Source organism: Homo sapiens, chromosome 10, assembly GCF_000001405.40.
Source record: "Homo sapiens chromosome 10, GRCh38.p14 Primary Assembly".
Classification (NCBI taxonomy): domain Eukaryota; kingdom Metazoa; phylum Chordata; class Mammalia; order Primates; family Hominidae; genus Homo; species Homo sapiens.
In genome coordinates this window covers 72,726,713-72,750,707 of record NC_000010.11, presented here as the reverse complement: position 1 = coordinate 72,750,707, position 23,995 = coordinate 72,726,713, and the positions used below count along the sequence as shown (strand labels likewise).

The 23,995-nt window shown below is 38.9% G+C and overlaps 1 protein-coding gene across 4 annotated transcripts in view; it reads right to left on the bottom strand.

Moving 5' to 3' along the window:
• Positions 1–23,995, bottom strand: part of MCU (mitochondrial calcium uniporter) — a 195,552-nt gene that overhangs the window by 136,987 nt on the left and 34,570 nt on the right. The gene's annotated exons all lie outside the window — the stretch shown is intronic.

Below are 23,995 nucleotides of genomic sequence, written 5' to 3'. Positions count from 1 at the left end.
ACACAAATCTATGTAAATTCATAGACACGTACATCAAAAAAAGGTCAATTTTATTAAATATAGACTTCAAAGTCTGAAAAAAATCAGTATCTCCTCCAAATGATGCATATCTGTGTCGTCACATACCTACTTCTTGAAAATGTAAAAGCCTACTGGATCATGCAGTTAGACACCCATCCACATAAATGCTAGGATATCTCCCTCAAAGATGGTTAACAAGAAGCCTAAATAAGCGTACTGAACAACGCTCTTAAAAATCAAATTTGTAATCAATGCCTTGCAACAAAGTTTTCTCAGAGCTCAGTTTTGTACCTATTTTATTATCTTAATCTAGAATTTAAAAATAATAATATTACACAATTAAAAGGAAACATCCTTCAGTCACATTGGTATTCATGCACGTAAAACCTTCTTGCAGATATGGGAGAAACTGTTCGTCTGTTAAATTAAAATTATTTACCTTTTCCCTCTTAATCTCTCCAGTTCAGTGTTCCCTGAATAAAAAGTGTTCTAAGCTCTGAGATGAAGGAGACCTCACTCACAGATCAGGAACTTTACACTGATGAATTCTGTGACTTCACTTCCTACAGCCTACCAGGATTCTCCAAAAAGAAGGTAGCAAAGGCTGGGCACAGTGGCTCACACCTGTAATCCCAGCACTTCGGGAGGCCAAGTCAAAGCAGGCGGATCACCTGAAGTCAGGAGTTCAAGACCAGCCCAGTCAACATGGTGAAACCCTGCCTCTACTGAAAAAAAAAAAAAAAAGTACAAAAATTAGCTGGACATGGTAGCACACGCCTGTAGTCCCAGCTACTTGGGAGGCTGAGGCAGGAGAATCACTTGAACCTGGGAGGCGGAGGCTGCAGTGAGCTGAGATCACGCCACTGCACTCCAGCCTGGGCAACAGAGCAAGACTCCGTCTCATTTAAAAAAAAGAAGGTAGCAAAGCTACAACAGCACCCTTTAACTAGGGTGACCATATGTCCCAATTTGCCTGGGATAGTCCAGCTTAACACCTGCTCCTGTAACATATTTATTGTCAGCACTCTCTTTCACTCAAAAGGCACTGCAATTTAGAGGTGACTTATATGGCCATCCTAACCCCCTTTAAGAACCTAACTTTTAATCCTTATCTATCACCAAGACATAGAAAGCAGTCCTTACAAACACAAGTCCCTATAATAGGCCAAAAAAGGCAGAACATTTAATTTGATCAACCTAATGTGTTGTATTTATTTTGTAATTATAAGCTAATAAAATTATATTCTTTGCATTATATAATTGCATATAAATAGCTTCACACTCTAGTAAATACCTTATACCTTAGAAGAAAAGCTCCTATCAGTCAGGTTGGAGAAAAATAAATCACTCATTTAAAATCTCTGCCCATGTCACCATTCTCAAGTTGGTTTTTGATTTTAGAGGCAAGGTTTTTCACTCAGTCGTCCAGGATGAAGTGCCGTGGCATGATTACGGCTCACTGTAGCCTTGTCCTCCAGGGCTCAAGCAATCCTCCCACCTCAGTCTCCCAAGTAGCTGAGACCACATACATGTGCCACCATGACTGGCAAAAAAAAAACAACATTTTTTTTTTCAATTATTGGGAGAGATGAGATTTCACCATGTTGCTGTTGCCCAGACTGGTCTTGAACTCCTGGGCTCAAACAATCCTCCCACCTTGGCCTCCCAAAGTGTTCGGATTATAGGCGTGAGCCATCATAATCCAACATTCTCAAGTTTTACAGCTATTTGATAGTGTGGAATAGTGAGTGCTTTTCATCCCAATTTAGGATGCTGTGTGGCAAATTCTAGAGAAGCTAAATGACTCTAACATCTTAATCCTCAGATGGAAAGTTTACCTGTTTCCTTAAAGTAATACCACTGTCAAGGAAAGAACAGGTTTCAAATTATAATTATTTTCTTGAGACTGTAACAAACATGGATCAGGATGTCCTTCCCTTAGAGTTTATCTTTTTTTTTTTAAACAATGAAGTATTTCTTCAGAGAATGAATTAACCAGACTCCTTATATCTCCTTTTTAAAATTTATTATTTGTAGAGACAGGGTCTTGCTATGTTGCCTAGGCTGGTCTCAAACTCCTGGGTTCAAATGATTCTCCCCTCTAGGCTTCTCAAACCACCAGGATTACAGGCATGAGCCACCTCGCCCAGCCATTATATCTCCTTGACATTCACTTTGGATAGTTCACTAGACAGGAAAAAAGTTATTACTTATCACTCCTTGTTAATCGATCTGATGGGGAAAAGATAACAAAATGCAGAACTACACTGTTCAATATGACAGTTACACGCTCTACTGAGCACTTAAAATGTGTCTAATCTAACGATAATTAAGACGGTTGGCCGGTGCGGTGGCACACGCCTGTAATCCCAGCACTTCGGGAGGCCAAGGCGGGCGGATCACCTGAAGTCAGGAGTTCAAGAACAGACTGGCCAACCTGGTGAAACCGCATCTCTACTAAAAATACAAAAATTAGCTGGGCGTGGTGGCGGGCACCTGTAGTCCCAGCTACTCAGGTGGCTGAGGCAGGAGAATCACTTGAACCCGGGAGGCAGAGGTTGCAGTGAGCTGAGATCGTGCCATTGCACTCCAGCCTGGGCGACAGAGCAAGACTCCGTCTCAAAAAAAAAAAAAGATGGTTGTCGTAAGACTCTTGAAGATTAAGTATGAAAAAAAGGATGTAACTCATTAATTTTTATATTGAATAGTGAAATATTTTTATATTATGTTAAATAAAATATATTATTCAAATTAATTTTACTTGTTTCTTTCCACTTTTTAAAATACGGCTACTAAAATATTTTAAATTAAATATTTGGCCATATTACACTTCCATGGTTTGGTTTGGTTTTGTTTTTTTCTGAGACAGGATCTCGTTCTGTCAAGCCAGTGGCATGATCATGGCTCACTGCAGCTGCGACCTCCCAGGCTCAAGTGATCCTCCCACTCTGCCTCCAGAATAGCTGGGACCACAGGCGTACGTCACCACATCTAGCTTTTTTATTTTTTTCCTTTCTTTTTTTGGTAGAGACGAGGTCTCCCTGTGTTACCCTGACTGGGCTCAAGGGCTCAAGCGATCCTCCTGCCTCAGCTTCCCAAAGTGTTGGGATTACAGGCATAAGCCACCGTGCCTGACCTATTTCTATGTTTTTATGTGTTTCCAAAATAATTTTTGTATTACCAATAGCAGGCATAACAGGCACTGCAGCGAAGTGCAAAAGCAACAAAATTATCTGTAACAAGAACAGTCCTTATTACCTCATCATAACAAGCACTATACATTCTTTAACATATTTTTTAAAACAACGAAAAGAAAAGAAAACCAACAAAAACTCAGAGTTTTTAAAAATGCACTACTCCTTACTTTTCTGGTTCAGAATATATTCTTAATCCTCCAAGAATGCATTAAGTATCTATAACATTCGTATAGACATTGTGTGATCCCTGAAATATCTGCAAACAACACAACAGTGGATTCTGGAAGACCATAATGCCAGCTTGGGAAACCCATGGCAACAGAGAAGGAGTGCAATGGGGAATGAGGAAGCAAAACACAGGCACTAAACATGGACTAAAAGCAGCAAGTGGAAGCAACCAGAGTTAAAAATCAGCACCTCTGCCCTGCACATAGTCCCTAACTTTTTCGTTATATTTTTAGTTTATATTTTTAGCTGGTTTTGGTCACATTTCCAGAGTTAGGCTGAAAAGGCCCAGACAGTTTCATTGTTAGGTTCAGAATTACATTTATATTTCCAAATTTCAAAGAGACTAAATTCATGCCTAGCAACCTACCACTAAGTGTTTACCAAACTTCTAGATAGAGATCATAAATTAGTCACCTCCCCAATTCAGTACATAATAACTACATGTCTTGATATCTCAGAGTCGGCAGGGATTAGAAGTCCAAATAAGTTATTTTTTTTCTGAACCCTGGGTTACCTTCCATGGAAGCAATTATAAGAAATTTGGCATTAAGTTTACATTTCAGATGGCTGCTAAACATTACAATTATGCAATTAGCACAGAATCCCCAAACACATAAGGGCTAGTGTAATCTCTGTTTGGAGACAACTTCAGACATTTCAAACACTGAAGTCTTATTACATACCCTAGAACCAGAAGAAGGCCTGAAAATAACAGACTTGGGCTTGCTGCTTAGGATACTGTTCTAATAGATACAATTCAAACATTCAACTTAATCAGAGCATTTAAGTCAGATTTATCCAACTGAAAAGTGAGGTAGTATTTACATAGACACAGATAACATTTATGCCTCTACTTAAAGTTAAAACGCCTGTACGAAAAATCTTTGTTTTTTACAACCACAAAAAAACTTCTAATTCTCCAGATATGTGATGTGACTTGGAGCTTCTGCTCAAATATTTTTTCATTTTAAGCCTGACTATAATTCAAGTATTTTATGGAGGCCTTTTCTTTTTGGTTTTTGAAAAATTACTGCAACGCCAGTGTGGCTGGTATGAGACAGTCTTATATTCGAATACTATAACTATAGTTTTCCACTAGGTTTCACGCTATACTGTGCACACAAAAGATGCTCAACAAATATTTGTTGAGTGAATAAATGAGAAGAGGAGAAGTAGGTCCACTACCACCAAACAGCAAAGAAAAACTGGATGCAAGGAAACAAAACACAGGCAGGAAAAGCTGGGATGCCCTTCCACCTAGAAACATTAAAAATAGCCACTCAGTACAGAATAATGAAGATGTTCTGGAGGTGGATAGTGGTAATGGTTCACAACTACATGAAGGTACTTAATGTCAATGAACTATACACGTCAAAATTATTAAAATGGTATATTTTATGTTATGTATACTTTACCACAATAAAAAAAAATTTGAATAGCTAGCCAAATGTGACATGTGACTATACTTTCACAGGAAGACAATGAGGCTCTGGTGAGAAAGTCTGGCCATGCAATGATATATGGTATACTACCACATAATGGTAATATACCATTTTATGGTAATGATATATGGTAATATACCATATTATAATATATGGTAAAGGAAAAAACAAACAAGAAAAAAGGCTCTCAGTGAAAACATTGTACTATGAGAAAATTCTATGTGTTTGCCATATCCCTGTGATGAAAGAAGCATGCTATAGTAGCTATTTATGTATAAAATACCAAATAGTGGCCGGGCACGGTGGCTCACACCTGTAATCCCAGCACTTTGGGAGGCCAAGGCAGGTGGATCACCTAAGGTCAGGAGTTCGAGACCAGCCTGGCTAACATGGTGAAACGCTGTTTCTACTAAAAATAGAAAAAACCAGCCGGTGTGGTAGTGTGCGCCTGTGATGCCAGCTACTCAGGAGGCTGAGCCACGATAATAGCTTGAACCTGGGAAGCAGAGGTTGCAGTGAGCTGAGATCGTGCCATTGCACTCCAGCTTGGGCAACAAGAGTGAAACTCCATCTCAAAAAAAAAAATTCTGAACAGTATTCCACTGGAAGAAAAACTAACTTTAGGTAAATGTAAAATCTGAACCTTTAGAAATAAACCAGCTTGCTTTAAGAAAACTGAATTAAATTATTTTGATCTAAATTGTCCATAAGCCTTGAGAGTTTATAAATAGGTTTTTTTAATGCATGCAGACTAACCCAAAAACAATTTTATAATATTAATATGAAACACTTATCTGTGGGCCTTATTATACAAATTCAGAAGAAAAGCTGAGGGGCAGATCATGTTAAGGGGAAAAAACAAAACCAAAAAAGCAAAAACAAAAACCTCTATCTTATACTAAACATTCAAAGGTTTAAAAAACAAAAAAATTAAATCTCAACTGGTGACCCAGGGATTATCTGCTGACCCCAGAGGTCTATCTAACCATTCGTTTAATGATCTCCAACTCAGAAACAGGTCTGGCAGTAAGAACTCTGCAGGGTAGCTCAAAGAGAGCTGGTAGAACCAGATGTTTTTAAGAAAGGAGAGCAGACCTACCCTTTTGAATAACTACCAGCTGTGCTGTTTTATATTCTGTCCCAAAGCTGTGACCAGTTGGCATTTTCTCCTCCCTAAACTCCTGAATTTTGAGACGAAGTCTCACCCTGTCACCCAGGCTGGAGTGCAGTGGCACCATCTCGGCTCACTGTAACCTCCGCCTCCTGGGTTCAAGCAATTTTCCTGCCCCAGCCTCCCGAGTAGCTGGGACTACAGCTGTGTGCCAATTTAAGGAACCAGTTAACAAAATGAAGTTAGTCTACCCTTGCTGTTTTGTGTTCTGCTCCAAAGCTATGGCCAGTGAGCCAAAAATTCTAGCACTTTCTCCTCCCCACCAAATTCTTCTTCATTTAAGAAGCCAGTTGGCAAAATGAAGTCAATCTGTGGATCAAGCCTGCATTCAGTCTGTCACTAAGTAGGAATAGCACATTACTGCTAAAGTTCTCCAAAATATTACGCACCCAAAAATCTTTAAAAAAAAAAAAAAAAGCATCTTTGGATACCTGAAAAATGAAGCCAAAAGATCAACTATATAGTTATACATAGTTATTCCATAATATAGAGAAAGAATTTGTAAACTATATAGAAAATACCTCCTATATTAAGAGTGGGATAAAAGGAAGATGCATGTATATTTTATATATTTATGTATATAAATAACATATATATGTTTTACATACATATAAATACACATACATATATATATATAAACTATTAAGGGAGAGACATGAAAATGATGAGCTACAGCATAACCTACAAAACACAAATGGCTGGATTTCTGGAAAGAGGGGCAGAGTTTAGTTATACTATAGAACAGTATCCTCCTCAGCTTCTTAGAATCAGCTGCTGCCAGGCACCAAGAGAATTTCATATAGAAATATACTATGCAGAACTAAGGTTATTTTCAAGTCTAATTAGTTGGTCTCAAATTCCATCATACACATATAAATCTTTCATGACTTCCTCATAGCCACTCTTCCAATGAAAGCATCCACCCCTCTAGGTGATAATGCAAAATTAATCTGTATTTGTTGAAGTTTTTTTCATTTGCCTCTAAGTTCATAATACACTAATCTGCATAACTTGCACAAGCTTCTAGAAGTAGAAACATGACTTGCATAGCACCTTAAATGTACAAGTACAGAAAAAAAATGCTTCTAATAATTAAAACAGTGCCTCATATACAGTAGGTATTCAGTAAATATCTGCTGAATGAATAAAGGAATGAATTCTAGTGAATATTACTATCTCCCCCCCATAAAGATATATTAAAGGGGCTCCAAAAACCTTTTTTTTTTTTTTTTTTTTGAGATGGAGTATCACTCTGTCATGCAGGCTGGAGTGTAGTGGCACAATATCGGCTCACTGCAGCCTCTGCCTCCCAGGTTCAAGTGATTCTCCTGCCTCAGCCTCCCGAGTAGCTGGGATTACAAGCACCCGCCACCATGCCTAGCATTTATTTTTTTTTATTTTTACTGGAGACGGGGTTTCACAATACTGACCAGGCTGGTCTCAAACTCCTGACCTCAGGTAATCCACCTGCCTCAGCCTCCCAAAGTGCCGGGATTACAGGTGTGAGCCACCACGCCCAGCCCAAAACCCCTCACTTTTCTCGAGACAGTGAATGACGGGGCAATGCCATAAATACAACATGATGATCAAGTCTCTTCCTCTCTCTCTCTCTCCCCCTCACCCTCTCTCTCATACTCTCTCACTTCACTCTCTCACACACTCTCACATGTTCTCACATGTCCATTCGATACCAAAACTTGTTAACCCCCTTTCCCTGACTTCCTACCTTGAATAAAATCCCTAGCAGCATTTATAGCATTGCACCCCCTAGAAATCACCTCAGGAGTTGCCCAAAGAGCAAGCTGCCACTCTAATTACATCTTCAGGAGAAAGACTTTTCCTAACTTGGGTTCCCTGGTGTTTTCTGTCTCCCCTAATGGGTATAATCAATCCCTGCAATTTATCTATAGTTCAGCCCCTGCCCATGGGCCACATACTCTTAAAATTAATGGTTCTTCATTATTAGGCACACTTATATGTGTGAAAGTTTGCAGGCAAGACATGTTTGACTTATCTTCCACTTTGTCCTAATTAAATCCTACTGATAGGATTCTCACACAATCACTCTCCCCAGTAAATATGCAAGCATCCAAAGAACACATGAAAACGATGGTTATAAGAATCATATTCATTTCTGAGTATTATTTACTTAAGTCTAAAAAAATAGCTGAATGATACATAAAAATGCAGAGAACCTCTAGGGGGAAATGGCAACACAACAGAGTATTAATAAAATAGAATTGCAAGTCTGAAAAAACCCTATGATGACAAAGATGGACAGAGTGCAGTCCCGTGTTCCTTCACAATGGGGATATACTCTGAAAAATGCATCCTTAGGCAATTTCATCATTATGCAGGCATCACAGTGTACTTACACAAACTGAGATGGTACAGCCTACTACATATCTAGGACATATGGTATGTCCTATTGCTCCGAGGCTACACACCTGTACAACATGTTCCTGTAACAAATAGTATAGGCAACTGTAAAACAATGGTAAATATTGGCATATCTAAACATAGAAAAGGTACAGTATACGATACTATAATCTTATGGGACCATCCATATATGCAGGTTATGGTTGACTGCAATGTCGTTTTTGTTTTTTTTTTTTTTTTTTTTTTTGAGACGGAGTCTTGCTCTGTCGCCCAGGCTGGAGGGCAGTGATCTCGGCTCACTACAAGCTCCGCCTCCCGGGTTCACGCCATTCTCCTGCCTCAGCCTCCCCAGTAGCTGGGACTACAGGCGCCCGCCACCATGCCCGACTAATTTTTGGTATTTTTAGTAGAGACAGGGTTTCACCGTCTTAGCCAGGATGGTCTCGATCTCCTGATGTCGTGATCCACCCGCCTCGGCCTCCCAAAGTGCTGGGATTACCGGCGTGAGCCACCAGGCCCAGTCTCCAATGTCGTTTTGCAGTGCATGACTATACACAGAAAAGGATAAGAAGACTAATCAGACAGAAGTTTTAGATACACATAACCTACAAGCCATCATCAACTTGGCAGCATAACACAGGAAATGTCAACACTGGTGGCCACTGACCACAGGGAACATGGACACTCTTCTCACTGTTAAGATGCCTCTCACTTTACCTGGCATGGAAATATCTTCTACTGTCAAAAGAAGACTGTCTCTCTATGTTTATCCTTTTCAGTAAATGCCAGTAAACTGGACATATTTTTGACATAATTTGCTTATGCTTATTGAAATCTGTATTTAGTTATGGTCAAGAAAATGCTACTCTCGCCAGGCACGGTGGCTCACGCCTTTAATCCCAGCACTTTGGAAGGCCAAGGCGGGCGGATCACCTGAGGTCAGGAGTTTGAGACCGGCCTGGCCAACATGGTGAAACCCCACCTCTATTAAAAATACAAAAAATTAGCCGGGTGTGGTGGTGGGCGCCTGTAATCCTAGCTACTTGGGAGGCTGAGGCAGGGGAATCACTTGAACCCAGGAGGCAGAGGCTGAAGTAGGCCGAGATCGTGCCACTGCACTCCAGGCTGGGGGACAGAGTGAGACTCCGTCACACAAAAAAAAAAAAAAAAAGAAAAAGAAAACGCTATTCTCTCAAGAACTCAATTATAAACTCATTAACTATTGTATCTGAGAAAAAAAGATTGTTAATTGTGTTTACAATTAAATATATAAATAAATGCATGACTAAGTAAATATTAATATATTGTTGATAACTATTAAAATACAATGGAAAAGCCTATATTACGTTAAACACAGTTAGAATCCTTTTATGTATCCAAGAAGTCTTTGCCTATGAGATTGTAAACTTTTTCTCTCAGAACCATGCTCTCATCTCCCCTCTGTCACAATTGGATTAAATGGATCTTTCCTGAGAGCTCACTGAGACACAGCCACACTTAACAGCAGCACACTGGCTGCCCCAGCAAAGGAGCAAATGACTCATAGCACCTGCTGGTTTGAACTCAACCCTTGTACTACATTAGCTCTTACGACCTCACTGGAATCCAAATCAGAAATCAGGAAAACAAACATGCAAAATATAAATAGGAATACAAGTGAGAAGTCAGAAAGAAATATAGAAATAAAAATCACAATTCTGAAGCTTCATTGTTCAAGACATTCCAACAAAACTGATAAATAAGTTTGATTTTGGAAAACCATTTCTAATAGTATATTCTAGTCATTTCACTATTAACAAATTATGGAGCTTCCCATCCTGAGATAATGGAAGAGTCAGGTTCACACCAGAAGTGAGAAAATCATGAAGATAACACCCTTTTTTTTTTTTTTTGAGACAGAGTCTCACTCTGTTGTCAGGCTGGAGTGCAGTGGTGTGATCTTGGCTCACTGCAATCTCTGCCTCCCGGGTTCAAGCAATTCCCCTGCCTCAGCCTCCTGAGTAGCTGGGACTACAGGTGCACACCACCATGCCCGGCTAATTTTTTATATTTTAGCAGAGACGAGGTTTCATCATGTTGGCCAGATGGTCTCCATCTCCTGACCTTGTGATCCGCCCACCGCAGCCTCCCAAAGTGCTGGGATTACAGGCGTGAGCCACCGTGCCCGGTGATGGCACTCTTTTTACAGTTGGCCACAGAACAGTAGGCAAGACAGCTACTAACCAACACACATCGAGGAGAAAAGACAATGATTGATGGGATCATAAGAGAAGAGAATAAAAATCTTAATTTTCAGCTGGGCACGGTGGCTCACACCTGTAATCCCTGCACTTTGGGAGGCTGAGGCAGGCAGATCACTTGAGGTCAGGAGTTCAAGACCAGCTGGCAAACAGGGTGAAACCCTGTCTCTACCAAAAATACAAAAATTAGCCAGGCATGGTGGTGTGCACCTGTAATCCCAGCTACTCGGGAGGCTAAGGCAAGACAATCACTGGAACTCAGGAGGCGGAGGTTGCAGTGAGCTGAGATCGCACCACTGAATGCCAGCCTGGTCTCAAAAAAAAAAAAAAAATCTTAATGTTCTTCATTGGCTAACTTCATATACCAAGCCTACTTTTAGAGGAAAGAGGCTGAATAATCACATACCCCTAAAGCGGTACCCCTGGAAAAAGTCAGACTTTGGGAACATAAGAAGTTGGCTTTCTTTAAAACGAAAAATGTTTCTCTGTTTCATAAACAAAAAAGGCCTGAAAGACTACTCCCAGGAAGACCATTAAAATGCTGAATTCACCTAGAACTAAAGTTAACATTTTAAAGCTGGAATTCAAAGGAAAAAAAGCACATATATAGTCTGACTTTTATAGCTTTTCCAATTCCCAATACAGGATTTTTAAAATCCTATTTGATGCAATACAATTTAACGAGATTCCAGTTGTGCTAAAAATAATTCCAAATGTTATTTTTAAAGTGCACTGAAAGGAACGGTCTATCTCAAATTCAAATATATGAACTTCACAGTAATGTAAACTGGTCATTCCAGCCTTTTCTTTTTTGAAGATTAGTCACTAGTAGTCAAAAAAAATGTTAAGGCACATTACACCTAGACTCTCTCAATTCATAGTTTCTACTTCAATAACTTAATTATAATTTATTATACATCTATAATATATAGCACATCACTGTGGCATGACATTTAAACCATACTGTTCACACTGTATAAGTGCACATAGTTATGTGTCTTCCCATACATAACCAAATATGTTTTTGGCTCTAGTTGAATATAATAATGAGAAGAGTGTCCTAATAATAGTAAAAACAAAAGAGTTGAAGCCTTAAAAAAAACCGAGCATTTTGACCAGTAGAAAAGGAACAGGAGGATATCCCACACAAAAAGATGTGAACAAAGTCAGAGAACCATAAGGCACATCTCAGGAATCTAGCACAGCAAAAGGCTCCGTTGTAAAAAGGAAAGGAGAAAAAAATAGCCTGGAAGGCTAGACTGAGTTCAACCATCAAGGGCTTTCAATACCAAAGTTCACAGATTTCAAGCTTCATTGTCCAGGCAACAGGCAACACAGGATTTTAAGCAGAGGAGTGACCATTATAAACTGGGTGCCAAATATAGCATTTCCACAGATAAGAAACTGTAAGTTTTACATAACATTTCCTTTGGCTTTGTTATTTATAAACCTTAACTATTAAAATACGGGCTGAGATGTCAACATCACAGCTATCAGCACTCAACATTTCTTTTCTCAAGACAATTAAAAATCCACATTTCCTTGTTTAGCATAAACTTTCTAGAAAGGCTCTTTGTTTTTCTGCCCCATTTTATCTAAAACAAATAGCACAAATCAGAGGAAAAGAGTCTTTTCTAACATTTGTTCAATCTAAAAGCTAAATCCAGCATGTAGGATATACTTACTTTATTGCTATACCATGATTGGCTCTCTTCTTCACTCCAGGAGGCTATTTTTGATTTGTTGGACATATAAGTAAGGAAGAAAGAGTGGGAGCAATTTCTCAGAGCCCCCAGGATACTTATTAAGTTTACTCCAACTTCCCCTTCACCTTCCCCAAATAAATTCTTCTTAATTACTATAATTATTAGTTTTGTTATATTTACAGAATTTGAAAGCTTTTTCCAGTGGTTTTTACTTAGACTGTAACTCTGTTCCCAGTGTCCAGTCTAGGTTTTCTCATTCGTTTAAAATATTTATCCAGCTACATTAACTCCCAAAAGCCTGTAAGTCCTAAAGACTACTAAAGCAGCAATTGTACCTGAAGATAACCGCAACAATACCACTGCTCATCCCTGCTCCCATGCCAACTTAAAAGCAGAAAGAATACGGAGTTCCTAGGAATATAAGAAACAGCTTGTTGCCCTGGTGCCTATACAGCTCACTCTTGAACTTCAAGTCAAAGGTAAGAAACAGAAAAAGGGGAAATAGGCTGGGCATGGTGGCTCATACCTGAAATCCCAGCACTTTGGGAGTTGGGGCGGTGAGGATCACTTAAGGCCAGGAGTTCAAGACCAGCCTGACCGACATGGTGAAACCCCATCTCTACTAAAAACACAAAAACTAGCCAGGCATAGTGGTGCGCACCTGCAGTCCCAGCTACTTGGGAGGCTGAGGCACAAGAATCACTTGAACCCAGGAGGTGGAAGTTGCAGTGAGCTGAGATCGCACCATGTCAATCCAACCCAGGCAATAGAGCAAGATACCATCTCTGAAAAAAAAAAAAAAGGAAAGAAAAAGGGGAAATAACGCGCCAACTTTCCTTCTAAGGAATTCATACATGGCTGCTTCCCTTACCCCCTCTCTTTACATTTCAAATTATCGACCCAATACAACTAGACTATATGCTCTTTAAAGTCTGGGGCCCAGGCCTAGCAATGGGCATTTTACACAGAAGGTACAGAATAATAATTTTTTGAAACAAGTATTTCTTGAATTGAGGTTTCTGCTCATCTATTATTACCACTTTTATTCCTATAATGTTAAAGTTTCTGCTATTAACATTAGTGACTTCTGTTCTTTCTTCCTGACCTCAAAGACACTACCATATCCAAGAATGAAAACTCATGACTGGAGAATTTGAACTACACAACTACTATGGTATCAACAACCGCTATAGTATCAAACTGAAGTTTAGAGAAAGCAAGTTAAGAGTCATATTCAAGAAAAATGTCTGTGGCCATTTAGAGTTTAAACCACAATTCATATACCCCACACGCTTCACTAACAAGACTAGAAAGCTTTTGGGAACACTGTAGTGAAGTATCAACAGTCTTACATAAACTTTTTTTAAACATTGAAAGCGACCAGCCTGTGAAAGCTCTTTTAGCAAATGCTAACACATTTTTCCTAGCACTACCATCTCAAACACCAAACAGCTTTATGTTGACAGCACGCAACAATGTCCAAGATTGTCCACCATTTAGACTGCTAAATGCCTGGCCTAAAAAATCATCAAAAGGGCACTATTGAGCTAAGGCAAAGGAAGCATATTAATAAATCTCTTTACTGACAAAATGTTACAGATTTGTTAAGTACATGAGAGAACTACAGCATTTAAATAATCAAAATCCTAAGCAAACATTTACTAAGATAATAATGGCAGGAGGAGGTGTGGCTCAGTTTCTGTTTACGATCTATTTACTAAAGCAGCTTAGCAACATTTATCCTAAACATACCCAGGATGCAAGTGTTGGTCATAATCCTTCTTTCCTAATAAGCATAAAGGGCCAACCCTTGGTCTCTGGGGGATATAACAGAACCATCTGGGGAAAAACAAAAGATGTCTGGGTTAGAAGGAAATATTTTCCTAAGAATGCAACAATTTTTTCCACTCTCACTTCCTTTTAGGACTAAACCTTTAGACAGGGGTACTAGGCAGCAGCAGTCAGGGCCTTACTGTCTAGTTATCTGATAATCCAAACCTTGGAGATGAAGGTAAATCTGAGCATGCAGAATGATCTGTAACAGCCCAGCTAACTTTCACTGTCACCAGCCAGATCAACTACAGAAAAGAATAAAGGCTAATGAAGCAAATCAGTCTTCCAATGGCAAAAAAAAATCCATATATCCAACGTCCATGAATACACAAATCTGTCAATAGAGGGTTTTAAACACTTAAATTGTTTATAGTAATTTACTAAGTTACTTTTGAAAAATTGTAAAGTATTAATTTGTGTTGATTTGCAAAACGAGAATATTTTTTGCATCAATGTCACTAGCCAAGAAACAAGTGTTTACAACTGTTTTAATAGAGCAATATATACTCATTGTAGAAACTAAAATTAAATACAGAAGTACATAACATGGGAAATGACAGTCTCCTATCCCATCCCCTAGAGACAACCACTATTAACACTTTAAACCCCAGTATTCTGCAATGTTCTATGATTACCAAATATTAATATCAAGGTTGAAGATCCACAAAGATATTCTATATAATTAGGCACCTTCTCCACTCCTGTACCCAACTAGTGAAACTAAAATAGTCTACAATGTCCCTGCCAAGTGTTCATCCAGCTTCTGCTTGAACAAATCTTGTGACATAGATCTGATTACCTCCCAAGGCAGTCCACTCTACCTTACAACAGCTTTATTCTAATACTGAGTGGCTAGTTACCTTCCCATTAGATCATTCTGGTTTCTCTCTTGAATATGCCTTTGTTTTTAAATGTTTACCATTAAAATAAGGTACCTAGACATGAACACAATACTTTGGGACAATCATAGTCCTCATTCTGGACACCATGCTTCTATTAATAGAGCCCAGATAATACTGTGGACTCATGATGAACATGCTGTCAAGTGAAACCCTCCAGGTATTTTTCATATTACCTGCTATTAAACCACATCACATCCATCTACAATAACACTAACTTTTTAGATCATATATGGGATTTTGCACTTATCAATGTTTAATACGTTTTAATCAATTCAGTCAATTCTTTCAGTCTGATAACTATTTTCAATCTCTAGTCTGAAAAAAAACCCAACACACTTTAACAATACAACTTATTTTCATTGCCAGTTCCAGGTCATATATGGGTTTGCAAAGCAAGTCATTAATATTCCATCCATGTCATTAATAAAAATGCTGAACACTGAAATACTACTCAGCTATCAAAAAAAAAAAATTCTGATACATGATACAACACAGACGAATTTTTTTTTTTTTTTGAGACAATCTCACTCTGTCACCCAGCCTGCACTGCGGTGGCCCGATCACAGCCCACTGAAGCCTCAACCTCCTGAGCTCAGGCAATCCAGCCTCAGCCTCCCTAGTAGCTGGGACTACGGGTATGCACCACCACACCCAGCTAATTTTTTTAAAATTATTCGTAGAGACGGGGTCACACCTGTAATGCCAATACTTTGGGAGGCTGAGGTGGGAGAATAGCTTGAGCCAGGAGTTCAAGACTAGCCTGGGCAACATAGTGAGACCTGTCTCCACAAAAAAAAAAATTTTTTTAATAGCTAGGCATGGTGTCACACGCCTTTGGTCCTAGCTACTTGGGAGGCAGAGGTGGGAGGATTGCTTGAGCCTGGGAGGTCAAGGCTGCGGTGAGCCATGATCAGGCCACCAAGCTCCAGCCTGGGTGACAGAGTGACCCTGTCTCAAAAAAACAGTGATTGTTTGTAAGGAAATTATTAAAACCTTGGTTCAATATCCAATATCTTAACTTTAAATTTTCAAATACTTCAAAACTAGTAAGTATTACTATGCCTAAAGCACAGTGCAGTCCAACGGAATATGTGAGCCACATATATAATTTTAACTAGGCCAGTAGTCACATTAATAAGAAAAAGATAAAATTAATTTTAGTAACATTTTACTTAACACAATATATAGGAAATATTATTTCAACACAAAAATAATCCAATGTATATTTTGTATTTGCAGTACATAGTAGTTTGGACTACACACACCTCAAGTCACATGTGGCCAGTGACTAAATGTCCATTTTAGATCTGAGTAAAGCAAGGAATTTCTTTCTTTCTTTTTTAGAAACAGGATCTTGCTCCATCACCCAGGCAGGAGTGCAGTGGCTCAATCATAGCTCACTGCAGCCTCAAACTCCTGGCCTCAAGGGATCCTCCTGCCTCAGCCTCCCAAAGTGCTAGAATTACAGGTGTGAGCAAACGCACCCAATCAGGAATTTCTTTTGTAGTATTCATCAGTTTTTATAGATTCTGCCTCTAGTTCTTACTTGTAATTTCCAATTAACATAATTATTATTTACTCTGAGGAGTTTTTCTTTCCTTCTTGGACCACATTCCCTTTAAAGCTTCTGTTAACAGACTCCTACTATAATTTTCTGAATTTTAAAAAATATTACTTTTAAAATAATTTTTCCAAATTTTCTCCAATAAGCATATTGTACCATCATAATAAAAAGTTAATTCTTTAAAACAAACAAACAAAAAAAGCAGGCCCAGGTTTACTTTATCTACCTTCTGTGAAATTAAACTACCAGAAAGGCTTGTCAAGACTGAGTAGATGCTGCAAGTTAAGCTATATAAGATTATCTAAATGTTCTTTAAAAAAATATATATATATATATATATATATGAAACATATATATCGGGTACCACCAACAGAGTACTCGTTATGTGCCAAGCACTGCCATAAATGCTTTTCACACATTGGTTCATTTTATATTCACAACAACCTTACAAGATTTCCCTTTTTTTAGACATGGGGGTCTGGCTGTGCTGCCCAAGCTGGACTCGAATTCCTGGGCTCAAGCAATCCTCCTGCCTCAGTACAAGATAGTTTTTGTTGTTGTTGTTTTTGAGACAGATTCTCACCCTGTCGCCCAGGCTGAAGGGCAATGGCGCGATCTCAGCTCACTGCAACCTCTGCCTCCCGGGTTCAAGTGACTCTGCTGCCTCAGTCTCCCAAGTAACTGGGATTACAGGCACGTGCCACCACACCCAGCTAATTTTTGTATCTTTAGTAGAGATGGGGTTTCACCATGTTGGCCAGGCTGGTCTTGAACTCCTGACCCCGTGATCCACCCGCCTCAGCATCCCAAAGTGCTGGGATTACAGGCGTGAGCCACTGCGCCCAGCCTCAAGATAGATTTAATCCATCCCATTTTATAGATGAAGACTGAAGTTTAGAGAGATTAATTCCCTTGTCCGAGGTCACTCAAGGAGGAAATGGAGAGTTAAAATTTGATCTGAAATTCAGTCTGGCACCAAAACCTGTGCTTTTTCCAACCCTCTCTACATTTCTTTCAGCACTATTATTTTCTTCCATTTAATATTAATCTGGCATAAATGCTCTTAGTGAAAGATTATGTTAACCTCACTAAATGTAGAAAAAACACTCAAAAGGGCCATTTTCGTCTCATGGATGCTCTTGCCTATCATTTAATCAAGGTAAGAATATATTCAATAGCTTTCATTTGCTCCTACAAAAGTTGGTACACCATAGCTACATGATCTAGTTAAACCAACTGTGAATTCTTTAAACCCAAATTCCTGGTGAGGAAAGGTAAAACAAATACATAATCAAAATGTTATGTACAAAATCTTGCAAAACTAAGCACAGGTGTTTCTTATATTCCTGATAAGGAAGTGTGCTTAAGGAGCATACCAGAAACCAAGGGCAGTTGTTTGACACACTCAGAAGTTGTAGATTACCTGCTCAATCAGATTCCCACAGGAATTCTAGAGCTTTAATTCGGTTCACCAGATCCTATCATGTTTGATCTATATTAGCAGTGCTTTATAATTTCTTTCACATATCTGTCTTTTCACATCAACAGTCTCTATCTCATTTTTTAAAGAATTATAGTTTAATCTCTTGCTGATCAGCATTTAAAATAACTGAAGGACACTGAAAAGGGCACAAAACTGCCTTCTTTGAAAAAACATTCTATGAGTTATCAAATAGATTAACTAAATGAATAGATGCCAGATTCATAATGAACTAAAAAGGAGCTTAAAAAAGGCATCCTTACTCTTAAAACAACAGAAAGACAACCCAATTTGAAAATGGGCTAAAGTGCTGAATAGGTATTTCTCCAAAGATACGCTGAACATCATTTGTCATTACAGAAAGCAAAGCAAAACCACAATGAGATGCCACTTCACATCCAGTAGGACGGCTAAAATAAAAAAGACATGAACAAGTGCTGATGAGGATACAGGGCAATTGGAACCCTCATACATTGTTAGTGGGATTAAAAAACGGTAGAGCCACTTTGAGAAATGTTAATAGTTCAGCAGTTCCTCAACAAGTTAACCATAGGATTACCCTATGTCTCAGCAATTCTACTCGAAGGTATATACCCAAGAGAAATAAAAATATTTGTCCAAATATTTGTCCAACCTGTACACAAATGTTCATAACAGCATTATTAATAGCAAAACAAAAACTCAAATGTCTATAAACTGATGAATGGATAAATGTTTATATCCATCATTATTGTTTAGCAATAACAGGAATAAAATGTCAAAACATCCTACAACACGAATGAACCCCAAAAACATTACGTAAAGTGAAAGAAATCAGTCACAAAAGGCCATGTATTATATGATTCCATTCAAATGAAATGTCCAGAAGAGGAAAATCTATAGAAATAAGAAAGATTAGTGATGGCCACAGGTGTAGAGGGGAATAGACAGTGATTGCTAAACATGGATTGTTGTTTTTTTTTTCCTGCAGTGATGGAAACATTCTGGAATCAGATATTGGTGATGGTTACAGTTGCAGAATCCTGTGACTACCTTAAAACCACTGAATTGTATACTTTAAAAGGGTGAATGTTATGTTATGCGAACTGGACCTCAATAAAGCCATTGCTTAAAAAAAGGAGATTCCTACTCTTTGACACTGAAGTTAAGGACAGCTATAGCTTTCCAATATCCATTCCTTGGGCACTCAGTGACAAGAATATCTACAATAAAATGATCTAAATCTAAACAAGTGGAGTTAATTTCTATTTTCTCACAGGCTTGATCTCTACACATCCTTAATTTATTTTTTTTCTGGCCACTTAAAAAGAATAAGGCAGCCAGGTGTGGTGGCTCACACCTATAATCCAGTGCTTTGGGAGGCTGAGGATCACTTGCGGACAATTCAAAACCAGCCTGGGCAATATAGTGAGACCACATCCCTACTAAGAAGAATTAAAAATATATATATAAACTGGGGCCAGGTACGATGGCTCACGCCTATAATCCCAACACTTTGGGAGGCCAAGGCCGGTGGATCCCTTGAGCCTAGGAGTTTGAGACTAGCCTGGACAACATGGCAAAACTCCATCTCTCTAAAAATAACAACAATTTTTTAAAAACCGACTGGCTTAAGCTGATCAGAACTCACAACTGAGGCTAGGGTCACCTTCAGAAACCATACTGTTGCTGCACAATAGGGAAAAAGCAAAACAGCTGTTGCAGAATCAACCGCTGCATGGCTTACAGTGCACTATTGCATACATAATCTTTTCTGATCTTACAAAAGAAGTATTAGAAAAATCCAAATGATATACACATGGGAAAAGGGATTTTGTCTTCTCATTTTAAAACTATGTTAAAGCTTTCTGCATATTTTGGACAAAGAGGTCATATTCAGAGACTGTTCACATGTAAGCTTTCTTAGCAAAACATCTACAGGGTGTGGTCATCAGATATTATTAAAAAGGACCAATAGGCCAGGCGTGGTGACTCACCCATGTAATCCCAGCACTTTGGGAGGCCGAGGTGGGCGGATCACCTGAGGTCAGGAGTTCGAGACCAGCCTGGGCAACATGGTGAAACCCCGTCTCTACTAAAAATATAAAAATTAGCTGGGCATGGTGGCATGTGCCTGTAATCCCAGCTACCCGGGAGGCTGAGGCAGGAGAATAGCTTGAACCCAGGAGGCGGATTGGTTCTGCATTCTAGCCTAGGTGACAGAGTGAGACTCCGTCTCAAAAAAAAAAAAAAAAAAAGAAAAAGAAAGGACCAATAGGAGAACAAAGTTTAAAAGAATGTTGAAGGCTGGGCATGGTGGCTCATGCCTGTAATCCCAGCACTTTGGGAGGTTAAGGCAAGCGGATTACTTTAGGTCAGGAGTTAGATACCAGCCTGGCCAACAGGGTAAAACCCCATCTCTACTCAAAATACAAAAAATTAGCCAGGTGTGGTGGTGAACACCTGTAGTCCCAGCTACTAGGGAGGCTGAGGCAGGAGAATTGCTTGAACTCCGGAGGCAGAGGTTAACAGTGAGCCAAGATCATGCCACTGCACTCCAGCCTGGATGACACAGCCAGACACTGTCTCGAAAAAAAAAAAAAAAAAAAAAAAGAATGCTGAAGAGAGTGAAGAGAGACACAGCAATGGTTCTCAAGCACAGGTGATATTTGGCAAAGTCTAAAGACATTTTTGGCTATCAGCTAGGGAGGGAAGTGCTACTGCACCTAGTGGGTAGAGGGGCCAGGGATGCTGCTAAACATCTTACAATGCACGAGAGAGCCTCCCAACCACAAAGAATTATCTGAAACAAAGTATCAGTCATGCCAAGGTTGAGTAACTGAGTATTACCACCTACAGTCCGGTTAGTGCATCTAAAGTCCAAATACCACTCTACAGTATGAAAGTATTAATCTATCTGTTCTACTGTGAGGAGCTGAGTTTCACAAATGAGAAAGAGTGAGCAAGAAGCAGAAACCACTTTAATCAGAGTGGTTACTGTTCTAACATTCCAAAACTGAATTTATCTCACGTGTTTGTGGGACTGGTTTCTTTTTTAAAAGGAATATAAAAAGCAGTTTTCTTTTTTTCTTTTTTGAGGCAGAGTCTTGCTCTGTCACCTAGGCTGGAGTGCAGTGATGCAATCTCGGCTCACGGCAGCCTCTGCCTCTTGGGTTCAAGTAATTCTCCTGCCTCAGCCTCCTAAGTAGCTGGGATTACAGGCACATGCCACCATGCCCGGCTAAATTTTTTTTTGTATTTTTAGTAGAGATGGCATTTCTCCCTGTTGGTCAGGCTGGTCTCGAACTCCTGACCTCAGGTGATCCACCCGCCTTGGCTTCCCAAAGTGCTGGGATTACAGGCATGAACCACCGCAGCAGGCCTAAAATACAGTTTTCTATCACTTTACTATATAATGCTATTCTTCAACAGGAAAGATCAGCGTACATTTGGGTTTAGAGCCTTTTGGTATTTTGAAGCAGTCCTGAAAGCTAGCACAATACAAGTAACTGCAACCATAATACACTGTTCCTGGATACCAAGGTTAAGAAGCAATTCTTTTCAAGGCCCACCAGATTTGGACACTAGAATAAAAACAGAAGGCTTCATCCCTCTACTCACTGGAAACATAGTCTTTCTAGTATTTATCTTTGCTAGATCCCTCATGCTATTCTCCTCCTAAACAAATATACAAATAATTTTAATCCCTCCATGGTATCCAATAGTTCATGGGGTTAACAACACAGGAATGCCTTTCTTATCCATATACATATAATTTCATCCCTACTCTCAACAAGTCATTCTCAGAGTAGGAAAGGAAATAAGCTGAGTGTCCTCAAACTATGTTAAAATAGAAACTTCTCCCCAGTGTTATCTCATACTATACTCCCCCTCACTCCCACACTCCCACCACATTAGCTATCCTGCTCTTCTTTCCTGTTGTAAGTATAAGACCATATAATATCCACGCCCTAAACCCCCACCCCCATCTCAAACCAGGGGCTTTTCACTTGTTCCCTCTACTGAAATACTCTTCACTCGTATCTTTACATGGATTTCTCCTTGTCATATATGTCTCAGCTTAAGTATCATGAACTTAGAGAAATCTTCTCTGACTACTCAAATCTAAATTAATCCTCCAATCACTCCACTGTATCAAATTTCCCATAGTTTATTAATAATCAACTAGTTAACTATTCAGTACCTTTAAACAGCCTTTCTCGTTTGGCGAATTTCTCATCCCATAAATCCTGCCTCCTCAAAATAAAAGTCAGAAATTCAGTTACCCAGTCTCTCTTGCAAACCGGAAGCAGGTAATTGACCTATATTATGCCAATAAAACACATTCACATGATATTTATTAGAAGACAAGTGATATAATGGAGACACCATGTGAAATCCATTCTAAAGAACATTTCAGAGTTATATCAGCTTTCTTTCAGAAGCAGAAATAGCAGAGGTCCTAGCAGTGGCATCTCATACTCAGCACAGACAGTTAAAAGTTCTAATACCTATTCCCAGTGGCAAAAGCAGTAGTCTCCAATGATTTGGTCCAGTGGTATAATTTGGGCATTTTTCCTGGCTAAGTAGACACCAAGACTGATTCTCTGGCATCCCTGAAGATTCTGTGAGCTATCTAATATCCTTAAAAAAAAAAAAAAAAATTCTGCTTAAATTAACTACTGGGCTTTGTCATTTCAACTAAGAGATCTGATTCATTCTTCATACATTTTTTCATCAGATTCTTACTGATATTTTCTTGTTAATTATTTATTAGCTGTCTCTCCCCACAAGAATATAAAACTTCTTAAGGACAGGGACATTATCTATCATGTTCATTCCTATAAACCCAATATGTAGCATAGTGCTTCCCATACAAGAGGCACTCAAAAAAAACTTCCTACTGCTACACAAATACATACTCGGGAACCAACACGAAGAATTCAAAGTATCAGTACTCTAGGAGTTAAGAGTGAAAAAGGATCAATGTGGTCTAGAGAAAGCAAAGAGGCTTTATGAAGGGCGATGACACTTGATTGGAGTACTGAAAAGACAGATTGTAATCAGGAATGTAGAAAAGCAGAGATGTATCTTCCAAAGGATAAAACAAATGTCTGGCACTGGGAATGAATGTAGCAGGCAGAGAGTAAAGTGGGATTAGGGAAAAGTATGTTGGGCTCGATAGGAGATATTATCAGACATGCAAGATGAGCAAGATTATGAATGGCTCTGAATGCCAGGCTTGGGGAATGTTCCATTTGATGATGTTTCAAGAACACTAATCCTCAATGAGTATTTTCATCTGTTCTTTATTCTAGATGTTATCTGCTGTGTAAAACTACAGCAGCTACCCACACGTTCTCTACAGCATTCCCTCTCTGAGCACTGGTGCTCTATATTTATCTTTTCAAGCTGAGAGACTACAAGAGGAAGAGATTCCTATAATTAATCCTCTTGCAACCAAGTGGATACCCACTTTAAAGATAAAAATCTATTGCCAAAACGGCCTTTATTTCCCAACCGCCATCCCCAAAGCCATACATTAAAATTTGTCTCAACTCAATTTACCTTCTAGTCTATTAGAATATTTTCCAGGTACTAGAGCTTTGATGAAAGACTTTTGTTTTATTTTGTACTAAGGTAACACAGTCATTCAGAAGATTATCAATTTTATAAATAGAACTCTTAAAGTCTTTTTAAGAATCCAGAAAAATCCTATAACTAACAACTATAAGAAGACTATATATTTTATGGCCTTACATGAACCAGAAGGGACCTTGGAAAGACTCTTAAGTTGGCTAAGAAAAGCAATCTGGCAGTAATTATTAAATATGGGTTGAGTATTCCTCATTG